We start from the raw sequence: 16,062 nt of genomic DNA on the forward strand, positions 1-16,062 counted from the left end.
CAGAGCTTGGCAGGGAACTGCTCATCTCTGCTCTACTCACTTTCAGCTATGGCAGCTTAAAGGCGGGAGCTGGAGTCATGCAAAAGCTTTTTAATCCTAGGCCTAGTAGTTGCTGCTGGCTGTTAGCTAGGACCTTAGCTGAGACTGTCGGCAGAACATCTCACCCAGCCTCTTCATGTGGCTCCCTGAACAACATGGCAGCTGGGTTCCCAGGAGGAGCCTGAGAGAGCACCAGGTAGAAGTAAGATAACCTAGCTCCAGAAATTAGACAGGGTTGCTTCTACTTCATTTTATTTATTAAAAAGGAGTCACCAAGCCTGGACGACATTCAAGAGGAGGAGAATTGTACTCTATCTTTTGATGAGATGAGTTCCATTGGCTCAGCCAAGGTCACGCTCCTGGAGCTGGAGATTGGGGTAATGGCTCAGAAGAAGCTCTTCCACCCCATCTGTATCTGGCAAACTTGCATACTTTCTGAGGACTCAGCTCTGATGTCACTTTGCAGGAAGTGTTTCCTGCATCCTAGGCTGGTTAGATGCTCCTCCCATCAAAAGATGGAAATTTGTTTTAAAACCACGTTTTAAAACCAACACACCCTTGTAGCAAGTTGCTATCATGTGGCAGGCAATGAGTCAGGTGGGGGTGGGTATGAACAGTAGGGAAGATGAAGTAAAGTCTCATTCCTATTTTGCACTGATTTTAATGAGGTTAACAACACTTATATGGCTGATATCTCAGCTGAGACACTGCATATGAAATTGCTTTGTGGCATTAATAGGAAATTGCTTTGTGGTATTAATAGGTAATTATATTGTATTTCACAGAGGGGCACTGTCAGAACAACTGTATCAGATACAACAGTATCAGTTGGTTGAAAGTAACACAGCTTAGTTCATCCTCAACAAAACACTAGCAAAACTGAATTCAACAGCACATTAAAAAGGTCATTCACCATGATCAAATAGGATTCATCTCAGGGATGCAAAGATGGTTCAACATACGCAAATCAATAAATGTGATATATCCTATCAACAGAATCAAGGACAAAACCATATCATTTTGGTAGACACAGAAGGAGCATTTGATAAAATTCAATATCTCTTTATGATAAAAACTCTCAAAAAACTAGGCATAGAAGGTATATCCTTAACACAATAAAGGCCATGTATGACAAATCCACAGCAAACATCATACTGAATGGGGAAAAGTTGAAAGATTTTTCTTTAAAATCTAGAACAATACAAGGATACCCATTTTCACCATTTTTATTCAAACTAGTATTGAAGGTGCTAGCCAGAGCAATTAGACAAGATAAAGGGCACCCAGATAGGAAAGCAGTAAGTCAAATTGTCTCTGTTTGCAGATAACATTATCTTGTTGAAAATTCCAAAGTCTCAACTGAAATCTCTTAGAACTAATAGATGAACTCAATAAAGTTGTGGTATACAAAATCAACATGCAAAAATCAGTAGTGTTTCTATAGACCAATAGCAAACTAGCTAACAAAGAAATCAATACAACAATCCTATCTACAACAGCTACAAAAAATACCTAGGAATAAATTTAACCAAAAAGGTGAAAGATCTTTACAGTAAAAACCATAAAACATTGATGAAAGAAGTTGAAGAGGATATAAATAAATGGAAAGATATTCTATGTTCATGGATTGGAAGAATTGACATTATTACAATGTTCATACTACACAATGCGATCTACAATTCAATGCAATCTCAATCAAAATACTGATGTCATTCTTCATAGAAATAGAAAGAAATCTTAAAATTTTTATGGAACTATAGAAGACTCAGAATAGCTAAAGCAATCTTGAGCAAGAAAAACAAAGCTAGAGGCATCACACTACCTGACTTCAAAATATGTGTACTGCAAAACTATAGTAATCTGAACAGCATAACGTTGGCATAAAAATAGGCACAGACCAGTGGGACAAAAGAGACAACACAGGAATAAATCCACTCACTTATAGCCAACTGATTTTCTACAAAGATGCCAAGAGTACACACTGGGGGAAAGGACAGTCTCTTCAATAAATGGTGCTGGGAAAACTGGATATTCACATGTAGAAGAATGAAACCAGTCCCCATCTCTCACCATATACAAAAATCAACTCAAAATGAATTAAAGACTTAAATATAACATCCAAAACTCTAAAACCACTAGAAGAAAACATAGAGAAAACCCTTCATGGCATTGGTATGGGCAAAGATTTTTTTGGATAAGAACCCGAAAACACAGGCAACAAAATCAAAAAACAGAAAATGGGATTATATCAAACTGGGAAGCTTCTGTACAACAAAGGAAATAATCAACAGAGTAAAGAGACAATCTACACAATTTGAGAAAAATATTTGCAAACTACTATGCATCTGACAAGGGGTTAATATCCAGAATATATAAGAAAAACAACTCAATAACAAAAATCAAATAATCTGATTAAAAAATGGGCAAAAGACGTGAATAGACACTATCAAAAGAAGACATACAAATGGCCAACAGGTATATGAAAAAATGCTCAACATCACTAATCATTAGGGAAATGCAAATCAAAACCGCAATGAGATATTACCTCACTCCAGTTAGAATGATTATTATCAAAAAGAAAAAAATAACCAATGATGCCATGAATGTGGAGAAAAGGGAACCCTTGTCCATTGAAGATGGGAATATAAATTGGTACAGCCATTATGGGATACAATGTGGAGGTTCCTCAAAAAATTAAAAATAGAACTACCATGTGATCCAGCAATCCCACTACTAGGCATTTATTCAAAGGAAATGAAATCAGTATGTCAAAGAGATATTTGCATTCCCATGTTTACTGCAGGACTATTTTCAACTTAGATATGGAATCAACCTAAGTGCCTATCAATGGATGAGTGGATTAAAAAAAGTGGTATATATACACAATGAAATACTATTTAGCTATAAAGAAGAAGGAAATCCTGTGATTTGTGACAACATGGATTAACCTGGAGGACATTATGTTAAGTGAAAAAACACAGGCACAGAAAGACAAATACCACATGATTTTACTCATTTGTGGAATAAAAAAAAAAAGCTGATCTCATAGAAGTACACAGTAGAATAGTGGTTACCTGAGACTGGGGGAGGATAAGGGGTGAAGGGAATGGGGAGAGATTGGTCAGGGGGTACAAAATTACAGACAGGAGGAATAAGTTCTGGTGTTCTATTGCATAAGAGGGTCACTATAGGTAACAATATGATATTGCATATTTCAAAATAATTAGAATAGAGGATTTTGAATATTCTCCCCGCAAAGAAACGATGAATGTTTGAAGTGATGGATAAGTTAAATGCCTTGATTTGGTCATTACACATGTTTACAAGTATTGAAACATCACAGTCACCCATACATTTTTACAATTATGTGTCAATTGAAAATAAAACCTAAAGAAAACCTAGTTCAAACTAACTTATATAATGAAGAGAGTTCACTGGCTTATGTAAATAAAAGTCTAGAGCGTGTGCTTTAGGCAGCGCTTGGTTCAGCCACATAAAGATGCTTCTGATGAACTGTTTTTTTTTTTTTTCCTATTTCTTTCTCTTTGCCTTCTGTGGTTGCGAGACAGCTGCTGGAAGCTCCTTGATTATGTGTCTCTTCATTCCTAGCCCAGATAAAAACAGATGAATTTTCTCTTTTGTTTCTGGCAAACATCCTGAAATTCACTCTGATTGGACCAGTTTAGATGGCATGACTACTCGTGGACCAATCACTGTCTGAGAGTAGGTAGAACTCAATGATTAACTTAGCCAAGGCCACACTCCTGGAGCTGAATAGGGATGGATTAACTTTCCCTGAACCTCATGATGGAAATTAGCAGGAAGGGAGAACAGAGGAAGGTCCTGAGGAGCTACTCATTGTTATCCACTTCATGTCTTCCTTCAACATCTTTTTCATCTCCCCTGCCCACTATGCCTATTTTAATGATGAAGAATGTTAAGCTGGGCTTTGAGCTTGGCATGTGAAAGCTTGTTCTTTGTTCTGTTGAAGAAAAACTCTACTGCCAGGCATGGTGGCTCACGCCTGTAATCCCAACACTTTGGGAGGCCAAGGCAGGAGGATCACTTGAGTCCAGGAGTTTGAGAACAGCCTGGGCAACATGGTGAAACCCCGTCTTTACAAAAAAATACAAAGATTATCTGGGCATGCTGGTGCATGCCTGTGATCCCAGCTACTGGAGAAGCTGAGGTGGGAGGATCGCTTGAACCAGGGAGGCTGAGGCTTCAGTGAGCCATGATGGTGCCACTGCATTCCAGCCTGGACGATAGAGTGAGACCCTGTCCTCTTCCCCCAGAAAAGAAAACCTCCAAAGAATTGTTCCTTTGGGGGCCCTGCCTCTTCCCTCTGGGACTCTGGCCTCTAGGAGGCTGAGGCTGGAGATAAATCTCACAGAAGCAGATCATCAACTGGAAGGGACTTAAGGTCACATTGTCCTGGTGTGAAAACTGAGGCTGAGACAGAATCCCTGGGCCACAGAGTCACAGAGCCTCCCTTTCCTCTGATACTGTCATGTCCTAAACTAAGAACTAAGTTGCATGCATGCACACATGCACTGACAGCCCTGACTAGAAACTTCTCCTCTGTAGGACTTAGTTTTCTTCTCTGTAAAATGAAGTGACTTCTGTGGCCCTAGGTTCTGCAGTGAAGCAAGAGTGAATTAGCTGGAGAGTATTCTAAATACATGCCCAGCTCACCTAGGAATTGTGATGCACCTGCAGGAAAGCGTGGTGGGTGTGTGCATTTTGAACTAGCTTCCTAGGTAGCACTGAATCCCGGCCTCATATCACTTTAAACCATCATATGAGGTCCCTTCCACTCTGGCCTCCAGACCTCTGAGCTTATTAGTCTGAGCGTCTATTAGTCTGTTTTCATGCTGCTCATAAAGACATACCCAAGACTGGGCAATTTACAAGAGAAAGAGGTTTAATTGGACTTACATTTCTGGGGAAGTCTAACAATCATGGCAGAAGGCAAGGAAGAGCAAGTCACGTCTTACATGGATGGCTGCAGGGAAAGAGAGAGCTTGTACAGGGAAATGCCTCTTTTTAAAACCACCAGATCTCATGAGATTTATTCCCTATCACAAGAACAACGAGGGAAAGCCTGCTCCCATGATTCAATTACCTTCTACCAGGTCCCTCCCACAACACGTGGGAATTCAAGATGAGATTTGGGTGGGGACACAGCAAAACCATATCACCTTGGTTGCAGGCTCCAGGACTAAGAGAAAGGAAAAGGCAGGGGTTGTCCTGGGGGAACTGCCCTTGGTGACTCTCCCGCAGAAGGAAGGAAAGAGACTTTGGTGTATTGGCCAGAGCCCAGCACGCCAGGCCAAGACTTTGCAAGGGTGCTCCTGGCTGGGCCTGACTGTTCTGATGCCCCGGGCAATGTCGTCATGCAGTGAGGCCACATGCCGGCCAGAAGCCCTTTGGCTGACCAGGGCCCTCTGTGAGGCAAGGAGCACTGCGTCCCTCTGCCCCCGCCCCCCAACCCCCACACACAGCACTCAGGTCACTGAGTGTTTCTAGAAGGAAAGGGTTTTAGAAGGAGGGCCAGACTTGGAGTTAAGACCTCCAGATTCCAGTCCAGATGCAGCTACCTATGGGCGAAGTGGTCCTAGCAACTGTGAGCCTCAGTTTTCTCATCTGAAAAGGAGGACTGACAGCTGCTGCCCAGCCTTCTTCTTTTATAAGGCACAGGATTTAAAAGGCAGTGAAGCAATTGGTGAAATGACTTGGTCGGCAAAACTCATGTTGGAGGATTATTATTCCTGTTCAAAATAGCAGCAGCTTCAAAGCTGGAACCTGGAGGCTCCCGCAGAGTCCGGCACTGCCAGCAAGCTGCCATCTTGCAGATTGAGATGAAGATACAAGAGGCAGAGAGGAAAAGCTGCTCCTGGAGGCTTCTTTCCTGATTCTTTGTCTCTCTCTCTCTTTTTTTTAATTAGAGGCCTGCAGGGGATCTGGGTGGCTTCCAACTTATACAGTGCTACCTGATAGAATAATTTGTGCTGCCTGGGCACCTGTCATCACCTCCAGAGAGACAACAGGCTGGAGGTGGAAAACAAGCTGCACACAAGGCTGCCGCCCCACCCGCCCTCCCCTCACTGTGCTCCTCTGTGCCTGTAACTCTCTGATTCTTGGAGTTTCCTGAACTCTGTCATTCAGGTGCTCTCTCATGATGCTGGCTAACCTGTCTCCCATCTGTAACATTGCTTCCCAGATAATTGAAGTCAACCCACATTTTCATTCTTAAATACATATCTTTGGCTTGGCATGGTGGCTCATGCCTATAATCCCAGCACTTTGGGAGGCTGAGGTGGGAGGATTGCTTGGGCTCAGGAGTTCGAGATCAGTCTGGGCAACATAGGAAGACCCCCATCTGAACAAAAAATTTAAAACATTAGCCAGGCATGGTGGTGCACACCTGTGGTCCCAGCTACTCAAGGAGGATGAGGTGGGAGGATCACTTGGCCCCAGGAAGTGGAGGCTGCAGTGAACCATGATCACACAACTGCACTCCAGCCAGAGTGACAGAGCAAGACCACCCACACCCTCTCTATATTTAACAGAAACTTCTCTGTTGTAAATGTAAGCCCAACTCCCTTGTGAGTAACAACAAGTTACTGTAAATATAAATATGTGATTATGAAAATAAAAAACTGTGTGCATCCTAAAGAAATGTAAGGATACAGATACATAAAGTGTTAATTACACACAGTGCAACTGGAGTAATGTGTAAAGTGCCTTGAGATCAGTATTTGCATGTGGTGTGTTGGAAAAGACACAGGCTTTGAGGCTGGACACTTGGGTTTTGATTCCAGCTCTGCCACTCACTGTGTAACCTTGGATAAGTTTCTTAACCTCTCTGAACTTTGGTTTTCCCATTTAGATAAGGGAGAATGATAACTTCATGTCCTTCCAGTGGTGTATGTACCACACTTTGGAAAGCCCTGAAAGAGCGGATGCAGTCAGTGCTTGGGGAGCATGTGCAGGTGCTGAGATCCATGTGCAGCATGTTGATGTGCATGCAGCAACTGATTTTGATTTAATCCAAGCCTTCGGGACATTTTGCAGATGAAGCAGCCACGGATTAAGGAGAGATTAAGTGACTTTCCCAAAGTCCCTAGCCAGGAAACAGTGGAAATGGGGATCAAAGTGGATCATTGGACCCCAGACCCAATATATTTGGTATGATTGACAGCATTAAGCACACGGTGGTGGCCAAGAAAGTTTTTGAATGAGGAAAGCAACTGCAGAGAGGTGGCATGCGACAGCTGAAGGAACGCCGATGAGAATGCCGACGTAAGAGTTCTAGAATGTCTGTTCGAATCAGTGGCTCTCCAATGGTGGTCATGAAGCTGCAGGTGGCTGGGCTGCAGGAACTCTCTCCCTTCCTCCTGAGGGTAGGTTGAGGGACTCATCTGATGGATGTTTAGTTTTTCCATTTTTCCTTTCTCAAGAGCAGGTCCTTCCCCCACCTTTTAAATTGTGATTTTGAGTAAGATTCCACCGGGGAGAGAAGAAAATATCTCTCTCTTCTCTCTCTCTCTCTCTCTCTCTCTATATATATATGTATACACACACACACACAAATTTATAAAAATATATATTATGTAATATATATTTATATATTATATATTTATATTATATATAAATATACAAAACATATAACTTTTTATATATATAAAAAATTTTTTTTGGTAAAAGCAGGTTCGAAGAGTTTTGTTTTAGGTGACCTTTAAGGTCTCCACTAAATCTCATTGGTTTTATAATTGGAGTGTGGGCATTTCTGCTTCATGGTTATATAGTGTTGGAGAAGTCGGTCAGCATTCTATCTTCACTCCTTCATCTGTAAAATGGGCATGAGGAGACAAACACCACTCACTTTGCAGAGTTATCATGTGAACGTGCCCTAAGAAGAGCAAAGGATTCTGCAAAAGCATGGTATTAGTGAATTGGTGTCATCATCAACTATTTCTTCCATGGCATCTCCGAGTTGCATTCTGGGAAGTGCTGGAGATATAGAGAACCACCAGACACAGAGTCTGGTGGGAAATAAAGAAGCATGGGTTGACAGTCTCCTGGGATATAGGTAAATGACCTAGCAGTTTCAATGGGGAAATGATGAGTGCCCCTAGGTAAGCATGGTGGAGGGTCACAGACCCTGCCTGGGGCTGGGGGTGACAGGGAGACAGTGGGAGTTGTAGGAAAGTGACATCTGGCATGGATATTCAAGGAGGAGCAAAAATAATAATTACATTGAGTCTATATGTATATATTTTATTCACACACAGTTTTGTGCATCCAAAATTAAGACTTGTAATCTTTCACTTCTCCTTTTGTGCAAGGATCTTATAGAGACAAAAGTAAATGCAAAGAGTATCATTGGGCCAATGTTGTGAACTTTGTTAATGACTTTTGCTCCACCCTTTTTGTCAACAAACAGAATTCAACCAACAAATGTGCTAGGGTCCGTTCTCTTGAGAAAACTTAACACACTTCCAGAACCATCAACTGTGAGAGCCTAGAGGGCCCCCTGAATATGTCCTGTCCAATATGTACACGGATAAGAAAATCTGGAACCTAGAGAGGTGAGGTGTCTTTACCAAGGCCAGTAAGTATAGGAGTCAGGTTGAGATCTGGGGGCTTATTGGGTATCACAGGCTCCAGGGACTTCAGAGTGGGAGCAGCGGTGTGTGCAGAGGCCAGGCCTAGAGGTCTGTAGTCTGAGGGCCAGGGTTGAAGTCCATCACTAATTTCATCCAACAATGGTTGCATGTGTATATGTCAGTTAATAAGCTGTAGGCTGAGGGTATAGAGAGAAATAAACCATTTTCCTTGCTTTAAGACACAGGTACATAAAGTGTTAATTACACACAGTGCAACTGGAGTAATGTGCAAAGTTCTTTGAGATCAGTATTTGCATGTGGTGTATTGGAAAAGACACAGGCTTTGAGGCCGGACACCTGGGTTTTGATTCCAGCTCTACCACTCGCTGTGTAACCTTGAACAAGTTTCTTAACCTCTCTGAACTTCCGTTTTCTTATCTAGACAAAGGAGAATGATAACCCACCTATCAGCATTGATGAATAAAGAGTAAATAAGATACCACTGGTAAAGGGCGTGGGTCAATAACCTAGGACTATCATCACCAAGTGCAAGGGCTTGGGCGAGACATTCAACCTCTTCAACCTTCTGGGAGCTTTGAATGCTCTCACCATACAATGAGGTGATGGAAGTGAAATGTGCTTCGTAAAACTGTGATACGTTGAGCAAATCACTTTTGGGATTATTAGCCGGTCCTCATTAGCATATGAAAGGCAAGGTGGCAGGGCGGTTGTCAAAGTCCAGTGGGTTCTGTGGGTCGGAAGCCAGGCCAGTCTCTCTGATTTTATGCCTCTTTCACCCACTGCCCTTTTAGCCTCCAGTCATTTCCCTTCCATCACCTGAAACCTAACTGCATTGTGGACCAGAACCTGTAGATCTTAGGCTTGGTTTCTATTAGTAAAGCCCTTCTCCTGGGAGAGGGACTTACCATCAGGCCTGAGAAAGAAGTCAGGCGTGCTTGGAATGCAATTGCAAAAGAGGTTACAAGAGCCTGTGAGAATGCCGAAATCAAGTGATGTCGAGAGGTTTTGTTATTTTTGAAAAAATGACTCATTCTGAGAAACCCTGACAGCCTCAGAACATTCACCTAGTTGCTTGCATGCATAACCCGGAGCCCACTGCAGAGGAAAACAAATCCTGTTATCACAGCTGAAGGAGGGGGTGGTGGGGGCAGTGAGGGCTGGTGGTGGGAATGGGAATAGGGATGGGGTGACCATTTAATGGAGGAAGAGTTTGAAAATGACTCTTGCTCTGCGAGTGGACTGTTTTAATTTCGCAAGTCCTTTTCTCTAAATTGTTCTATTCAAGCCATTACAGAACACATCCGCTTGGAGGCAACACATATTCTTTTTGCATTCAACTGAGCCAGCCACGGGAGATAAGATGATTCCCATTTGACCCTCAAAGGAAATGGACTCTCAGATGGCTGAAGCTATTTGTCCAAGATGAGGGGGCAGAAGAAGAAAGGAGGGAGAGAAAAAGGAGGAGGAGGAGGAGGGAGAAAGAAGGGGGTGGGAGAGGAGGGGAGGGGAGGGGAAGGGAGGAGAGGAAAGGGGAGGAGAGGAGAGAAATGAAAACCATGCTTGTCTTGTGGAGAAAGACTGGGAAGGGCTGTTTCCAGTGGGGGCACCTGTTGGCCTCCTCATTGTGAGATGCTCCGGAGCATACGGGACCTCGGGTTAGGAGATGGGTTCTGGTTCTGCCCCTGGCCTTAGCCACCTGTGTGGCTTTGGGGAAACAGGTTCCTTCACCAAGTCACCATTCACATCTGTAAAAGTATGAGGATGAGTGGAGTAAAATAAACTGAGAGCTTCTAAAACTTAGCAGGCACATGAATGTTCTGGAAAACTTGTTACAATATGGATTACTGGGTCCCCGCTCCAGGAATTCTGATCAGGAAGTCTGGGGAAGGGCTCCCGGGTGAGGCAGATGTTGCCCTTTAGTCTACTGACCTCCCTTGAGTAGCCTTGGTGGATGATCTTTAATACTCCTTCCTGTTCTGCCGTTCAGTGATTCAAAATATTCAAGAGCTCCCGGCCGTTGTGCGCTGAGCCGGGGCTGGGAATACAAAATAGAATAGGTTTCTGCCTTTCGGGCCTAGCAGTGTCAGTGTGGAAGCAGATGGGTGAGCGAATGGCGTTGTCACACAAGGCCCACGGGGGAAGTGCTAAGGCAGGAGTGGTCAGTGCTTTGTGTGGGAGGCAGGCAGGGCTTCAGGGAGGAGGGTGTCGGGGTGAGCCTGTAGGGTGAGCCTTTAGGCCTCGGTTGTCCTTAGCCAGCAAGATGTGTGTGGGGCGATTTCTGGGGAGAGGGCGGTGTTGGCTGTTTGGAACGTGGCCCTCAGAGGACTGTTGGGCCAAGTGCTTGTTGCGTGAGCTGTGGCTTCAGTGCTGCTCAGAGTGATCTTTGGGCTCTGTCCTCCAGCTGAGCACCTGCAGTGCCCCTCTCCTTAGACGGCCCCGGGAAGAGCGGGCAGGAGCAGGTGGGCCAGGACCCTGGGACCACCTTGAAATATTTTCTAAATACAGTGCACACACACATATCCACACACAGATAAATATATAGAGATAGATGTGTACACACACAAACACACCCACACACAGAGTTAATCTTCCTTATTAGCAGATTCTATATTTGTGAATTTGCCTACTTGCTAATATTTGCTCGCAACCCCCAAATCAATACTCACAGCACTTTCTCAGTCATTCATGAACCTGTGCAGAACAGCAGAAAAATGGACTGACTCAACACCCGTGTTCCCAGCAGAGGTGGAACAAGGTGATGCTTTGCCTTCTTTTCTTCAGCTCAAACTGGAAACAAGTCTCTTTTTTGAGGCCTAGTTAGTATCATGTTTGGGGGACTTTTGTGCTTTTTGGGGTGATTTTGATGTTTTAAATGGCACCCAAGTGTAGAGCTGAAGTGCTGTCTCTTATTCCTAAATGCCAGAAGGCTGTGATGTGTCTTATGAAGAAAATACATGTGTTAGAGAAGCTTCATTGAGGCATAAGCTATGGTGCTGTTGGCTAAGAGCTCAATGTTAATGAATCAACAATATCTATTAAATAAGGTGTCTAAGCAAAAACACACATAAGACAAGGTTGTGTTTGATTACTTGATGAAAATGTTCTGACCAGAGGCTCACAGGAACCTAATCATTGACTTCCTCTAGGAAGAATGATTCACTATCCTCTAATTCAATGTTCATGACCACTTCATGGAACATAACTGCCACAGATAATGAGGGCTGACTGTATATGTGTCTTTCTGTGTATATGCATGTATGTGTGTAAGTGTGTACATATAACTGAGTGTATCCGCTGCTTAGTATTGTTAGAGGCGTGTGAACCAGAGCAACTCCATTTTGAGTAGGAGCTGGGTAAAATAAGGCTGAGACCTACTGGGCTGCATTCCCAGATGGTGAAGGCATTCTAAGTCACAGGTTGAGATAGGAGGTTGGAACCAAATACAGGTCATAAAGACCTTGCTGATAAAACAGTTTGCAGTAAAGAAGCCGGCTAAAACCCACCAAAACCAAGATGGCTACGAGAGTGACCTCTGGTCGTCCTCATTGCTACACTCCCACCAGCATCGTGACAGTTTGCAAATGCCATGGCAATGTCAGGAAGTTACCCTATATGGTCTAAAAAGGGCAGGTGTGAATCATCTATCCCTTTTTTAGCATTTCATCAAGAAATAACCTTAAAAATGGGCAACCAGCTGTCTATGGAGTAGCCATTCTTTTGTTCCTTTACTTTCCCATAAACTTGCTTCACTTTACTCTTTGGACTTGCCCTGAATTCTTTCTTGTGTGAGATCCAAGAATCCTCTCTTGGGGTCTGGATCGGGACCTCTTTCCTATAACAGTGTCATAGGTTAGTGTATTTAACAAGATAATTCACAGCTGCAGCAAGAGCTGAATAAAATCCAGACATCTAGGTAAGCTTCAGAAGGTTCCTCAGTCATCCTAACTGTAGTAGTTTTTTTTTTTTGTTTGTTTGTTTGTTTGTGAGCCGGAGTTTCACTCTTGTTGCCTAGGCTGGAGTGCAATGGCGCGATCTCAGCTCACTGCAACCTCCGCCTCCTGGGTTCAAGCGATTTTCCTGCCTCAGCCTCCCAAGTAGCTGGGATTACAGGCATGTGCCACCATGCCCGGCTAGTTTTGTATTTTTAGTAGAGACGGGGTTTCTCCATGTTGGTCAGGCTGGTCTCGAGCTCCCGACCTCAGGTGATCCACCCACCTCGGCCTCCCAAAGTGCTGGGATTACAGGCATGAGCCACCACGCCCGGTCTGTAGTAGTTTTTATCCAATTTCACCACCCCCTCTCCCGCCGAGGTTTGAGCAAAAGGCTTTTCTCCTCATTCGGAAGGCTTTTCTTTAGCTTCCACACCCACTGGAATTCACATCTCACCAACTTGGTTTAGGTATGGGCTTATATCTAACAGAGCTGGTGTCACAATGTAGCTGAATGTGACTTCAGTATGGATTACAGGATAATTTTAAATGGGTGATTATTTTGGTTTCACTGCATTTGTATTGATTAATTCCTGCATTTGGCAGATGGATTTAATTTCTGCGATAGAGGGAGAGACGGTACGGGGGCTTTGTGGAGGTCTCCTTCGGGACTCCTCTGTGTGGTCAGGGGAACTGAGACACAGGATCTGGCGAGGTGAGGCAGCCAGGAAGTGGCCGGCCAGGCCTGCAGCCCCTGCAGGCTGAGGCAGGAGGCCAGGCTCACCAGCCCTTTGCCACTCCGCCCCTTATGTCTGTGTCCACCCTTGGCCTTGTCCCTTAGGCTACGTCAAACCTTTCTGCCTTGCTTCTGAGAAATGTGCTGAAAACACAAAAGGCCCCTTCAGGCCTTCACGGGGTTAAACGTGACCTCCCAGGGAGCCAGGGCCAAGGGGCTCTGCAGTCTTCCGGGACTGTGAACCCCCTGCCTCCCACTGGGACGGTGGTGTGGAGGGCATCTGGGTGCTCCCGGGCCTCTGTCACTCAGGACAGAGGCCTCCCGCAGGTCCTCGGGACCTGGTTGGCCAGTGGAGCGAGAGGAAGCAGTGAGGCTGAAGAAGCGGGCAGCTGGCTGCCATCCCACATCAACAGGCCCCGTCACTGTAAATTATTTATGCGCCATCGGGAGGCTGGACAGACTCCTTGATGGGCTTGTTAATAAGAAGCCTGCAGATCCTGCCTTGGCCCAGATTCCTGGGGGCTGGGGGTGCGTGGAGAAGAGTGGAGGGGGAGCTGTTTCTTTTTGCTCAGCATCTCCTGATTGGAAACCGCAGCAATTCCCTGTCTTCTCCAGGAACAAGTCTGAGCTCCACGGCACCACATTCAAGGCCTCTGTGCAGGCACAGGTCTCACACTTCGCCTCTGCTTCAGCTGGGACAAGTTTTGACTGTCTCTGCAAATGACCGTATCATTTCCAACTCCAGGTCTTTGCGTCATGTGCTCTTTCCCCTACTTGGAATTCCTTCTCTCTCAGAATCCAGGAAGACAGCCCAGATACTACCTGCTCTGTGTGCCCCAGCTGCAACTCATCCACTGGAAGGCTCAGTTCCTCCTTCCTTGTGCTCCCACAGCTGAATGCATCCTTCTTAGCAGCATGGCCTCCATTCTGCACCCCAGCTGCATGCATTGCTGAGGAACCTTGTGTTTACTCAGATAGAACACAAGGACAATGACAGCATCTCCCTTAAAGCTTTGTGGTGCAGACTAAATATGCACCCAGTTTTACAGAGTGGCCAGTATCCATAAATCACCCAACAGACCCTACCTCTTCTTTGTGATTCTCATTAATACAGCTCTTATTTCATTGAATTGCGATAACTTCTTTTGTAAGCCTCACGCTTACTAAACTCTGACCTACTGGAGTTTCAGGGGACGTGGTCTCACTCATCTCCAAACCTTCAACTTCCAGCCCAACACCTGGCCCTTAGTAAGTGTTCCATAAAGAGTATAGATCCAATAGTAGCACACGTGGACAGTATCTAGCATTTATTGGGTGCTTACTGTCTGCCAGGCCGTGTTCTAAGCCCTTGATATGCATTAACTCATTTAATACAATAATCCTATGAGATAGCTATTATCAATATTCTGATTTTACAGATGAGGAAACCGAGTCACAGAGGGGTGAAGTAACTTGTGCAAAGTGACGTATTTAATGAGTAACAGAATTGAGCTTCAAGACCAGAGAGATTCATACCTCAATGAGTTCCACTGCCTCTCAAAGTCTGACTCTCACGGCACAGAGCGGGTATTTAATTGTAAGTGCCTGGCACAGAGTAGGAGTTTAGTGAATGTTGAATCAGTGCTTTAGGCTTTTATGTGTTTTGATTGCCAAGACTAAAGGCAGGGAAGTCCCACAGATCGGTTACTAAAAAGGGCAAGTTTCTATTTGTTAAACTTATCTCTACAAAACGTTTCCAGGTATGTCCCCATTGTTGTGTATCCTCTCCTGAGCTGGCCTGCTCTAGATCCAGCACTTGATCTTCCTGAGGCAGGGGAGAGCCTGTGTCTCCAGGCAGACCCTGTGGCCAGGCTGTGTGTTGCATCCTCATTACCATAATCTCTGCAGGCTGCGGGACCTCATCCCTCTGCCTGAATATTCCTTTCCCTCTCTGCTGCAATTCTGCACTGCCACCGTGATCTTCCAGGAAACATTCTTTTTGTCCTGAAAGGTCAATTCACAGGGACTGTCCTCTGGAAGATCCCAACTGCCACCTCCATTTCTCAGTTCCCCCACACCGGGCACACGTCTACATTATTTCTGTGTGCACACATTTATGGCAAAGTGGTAAATGGCGAGGGTTTTAGTGCCAGACCCCTGGCTTTCAGCCTGGCTCTGCCACCCGGTGTGGGTCTCTCCACCCAAGCCTCAATTTTCCCATCTATGAAGTGGCGCTAATCATAGTACCTACCTCACAGGTTTTTGTGAGGATTAAGTAGAAGAGTGCATATAAAGCACTTGAGAAATGAACATGTCAATTGCTGCATATGTGCTCCTGGTTCTTTTATTTTTCTAAAACGTGGGTCCTTCACACCCTGGCTTACCCCTGATACATCTTTGCATCTCTGGTGATTAGTAGAGTTCCTGCCACACAGTGGGTGCTCGATACATGACAATCAAACTGAAGTTCAGTAGCAGGCATTTGTTGAGCACTTACTGTGTACTAGGTGCTGAGTATGCCAAGATGGGAGGCAGCCAAAAGGTCAGGATGCATTTACGTAAAGACAGCTAATGAGAGACTGAGTGGGTCCCAGTATGATGCAGTCATTGGCTCATTTATTCATTAAGGCTTTTGTTGCACCAGGTTCTGGGGAGATAGATATGAATAAAATGCATTCCTGGTCCTCGAAGGGACATGCATGTTTGCAAAATGTACAATAGGAGCGAATGACTGTTGTTGTAGAGG

The 16,062-nt window shown here is 44.6% G+C and overlaps 1 long non-coding RNA gene across 1 annotated transcript in view, besides 1 other annotated feature; it reads left to right on the top strand.

Annotated features, from left to right (window-relative positions):
- Positions 1-16,062, top strand: part of LINC02964 (long intergenic non-protein coding RNA 2964) — a 160,228-nt gene that overhangs the window by 108,054 nt on the left and 36,112 nt on the right. The window lies entirely within an intron of this gene.
- Positions 8,799-8,908: an enhancer, noted in NCBI's record as "active region_27926". NCBI's record gives its function as "activates an Ori minimal core promoter by ATAC-STARR-seq in GM12878 lymphoblastoid cells {active_cell/tissue: GM12878}" and the evidence as "EXISTENCE:reporter gene assay evidence [ECO:0000049][PMID:35858748]".

The sequence above is a fragment of the Homo sapiens genome, chromosome 8, assembly GCF_000001405.40.
Source record: "Homo sapiens chromosome 8, GRCh38.p14 Primary Assembly".
NCBI classification, from domain to species: domain Eukaryota; kingdom Metazoa; phylum Chordata; class Mammalia; order Primates; family Hominidae; genus Homo; species Homo sapiens.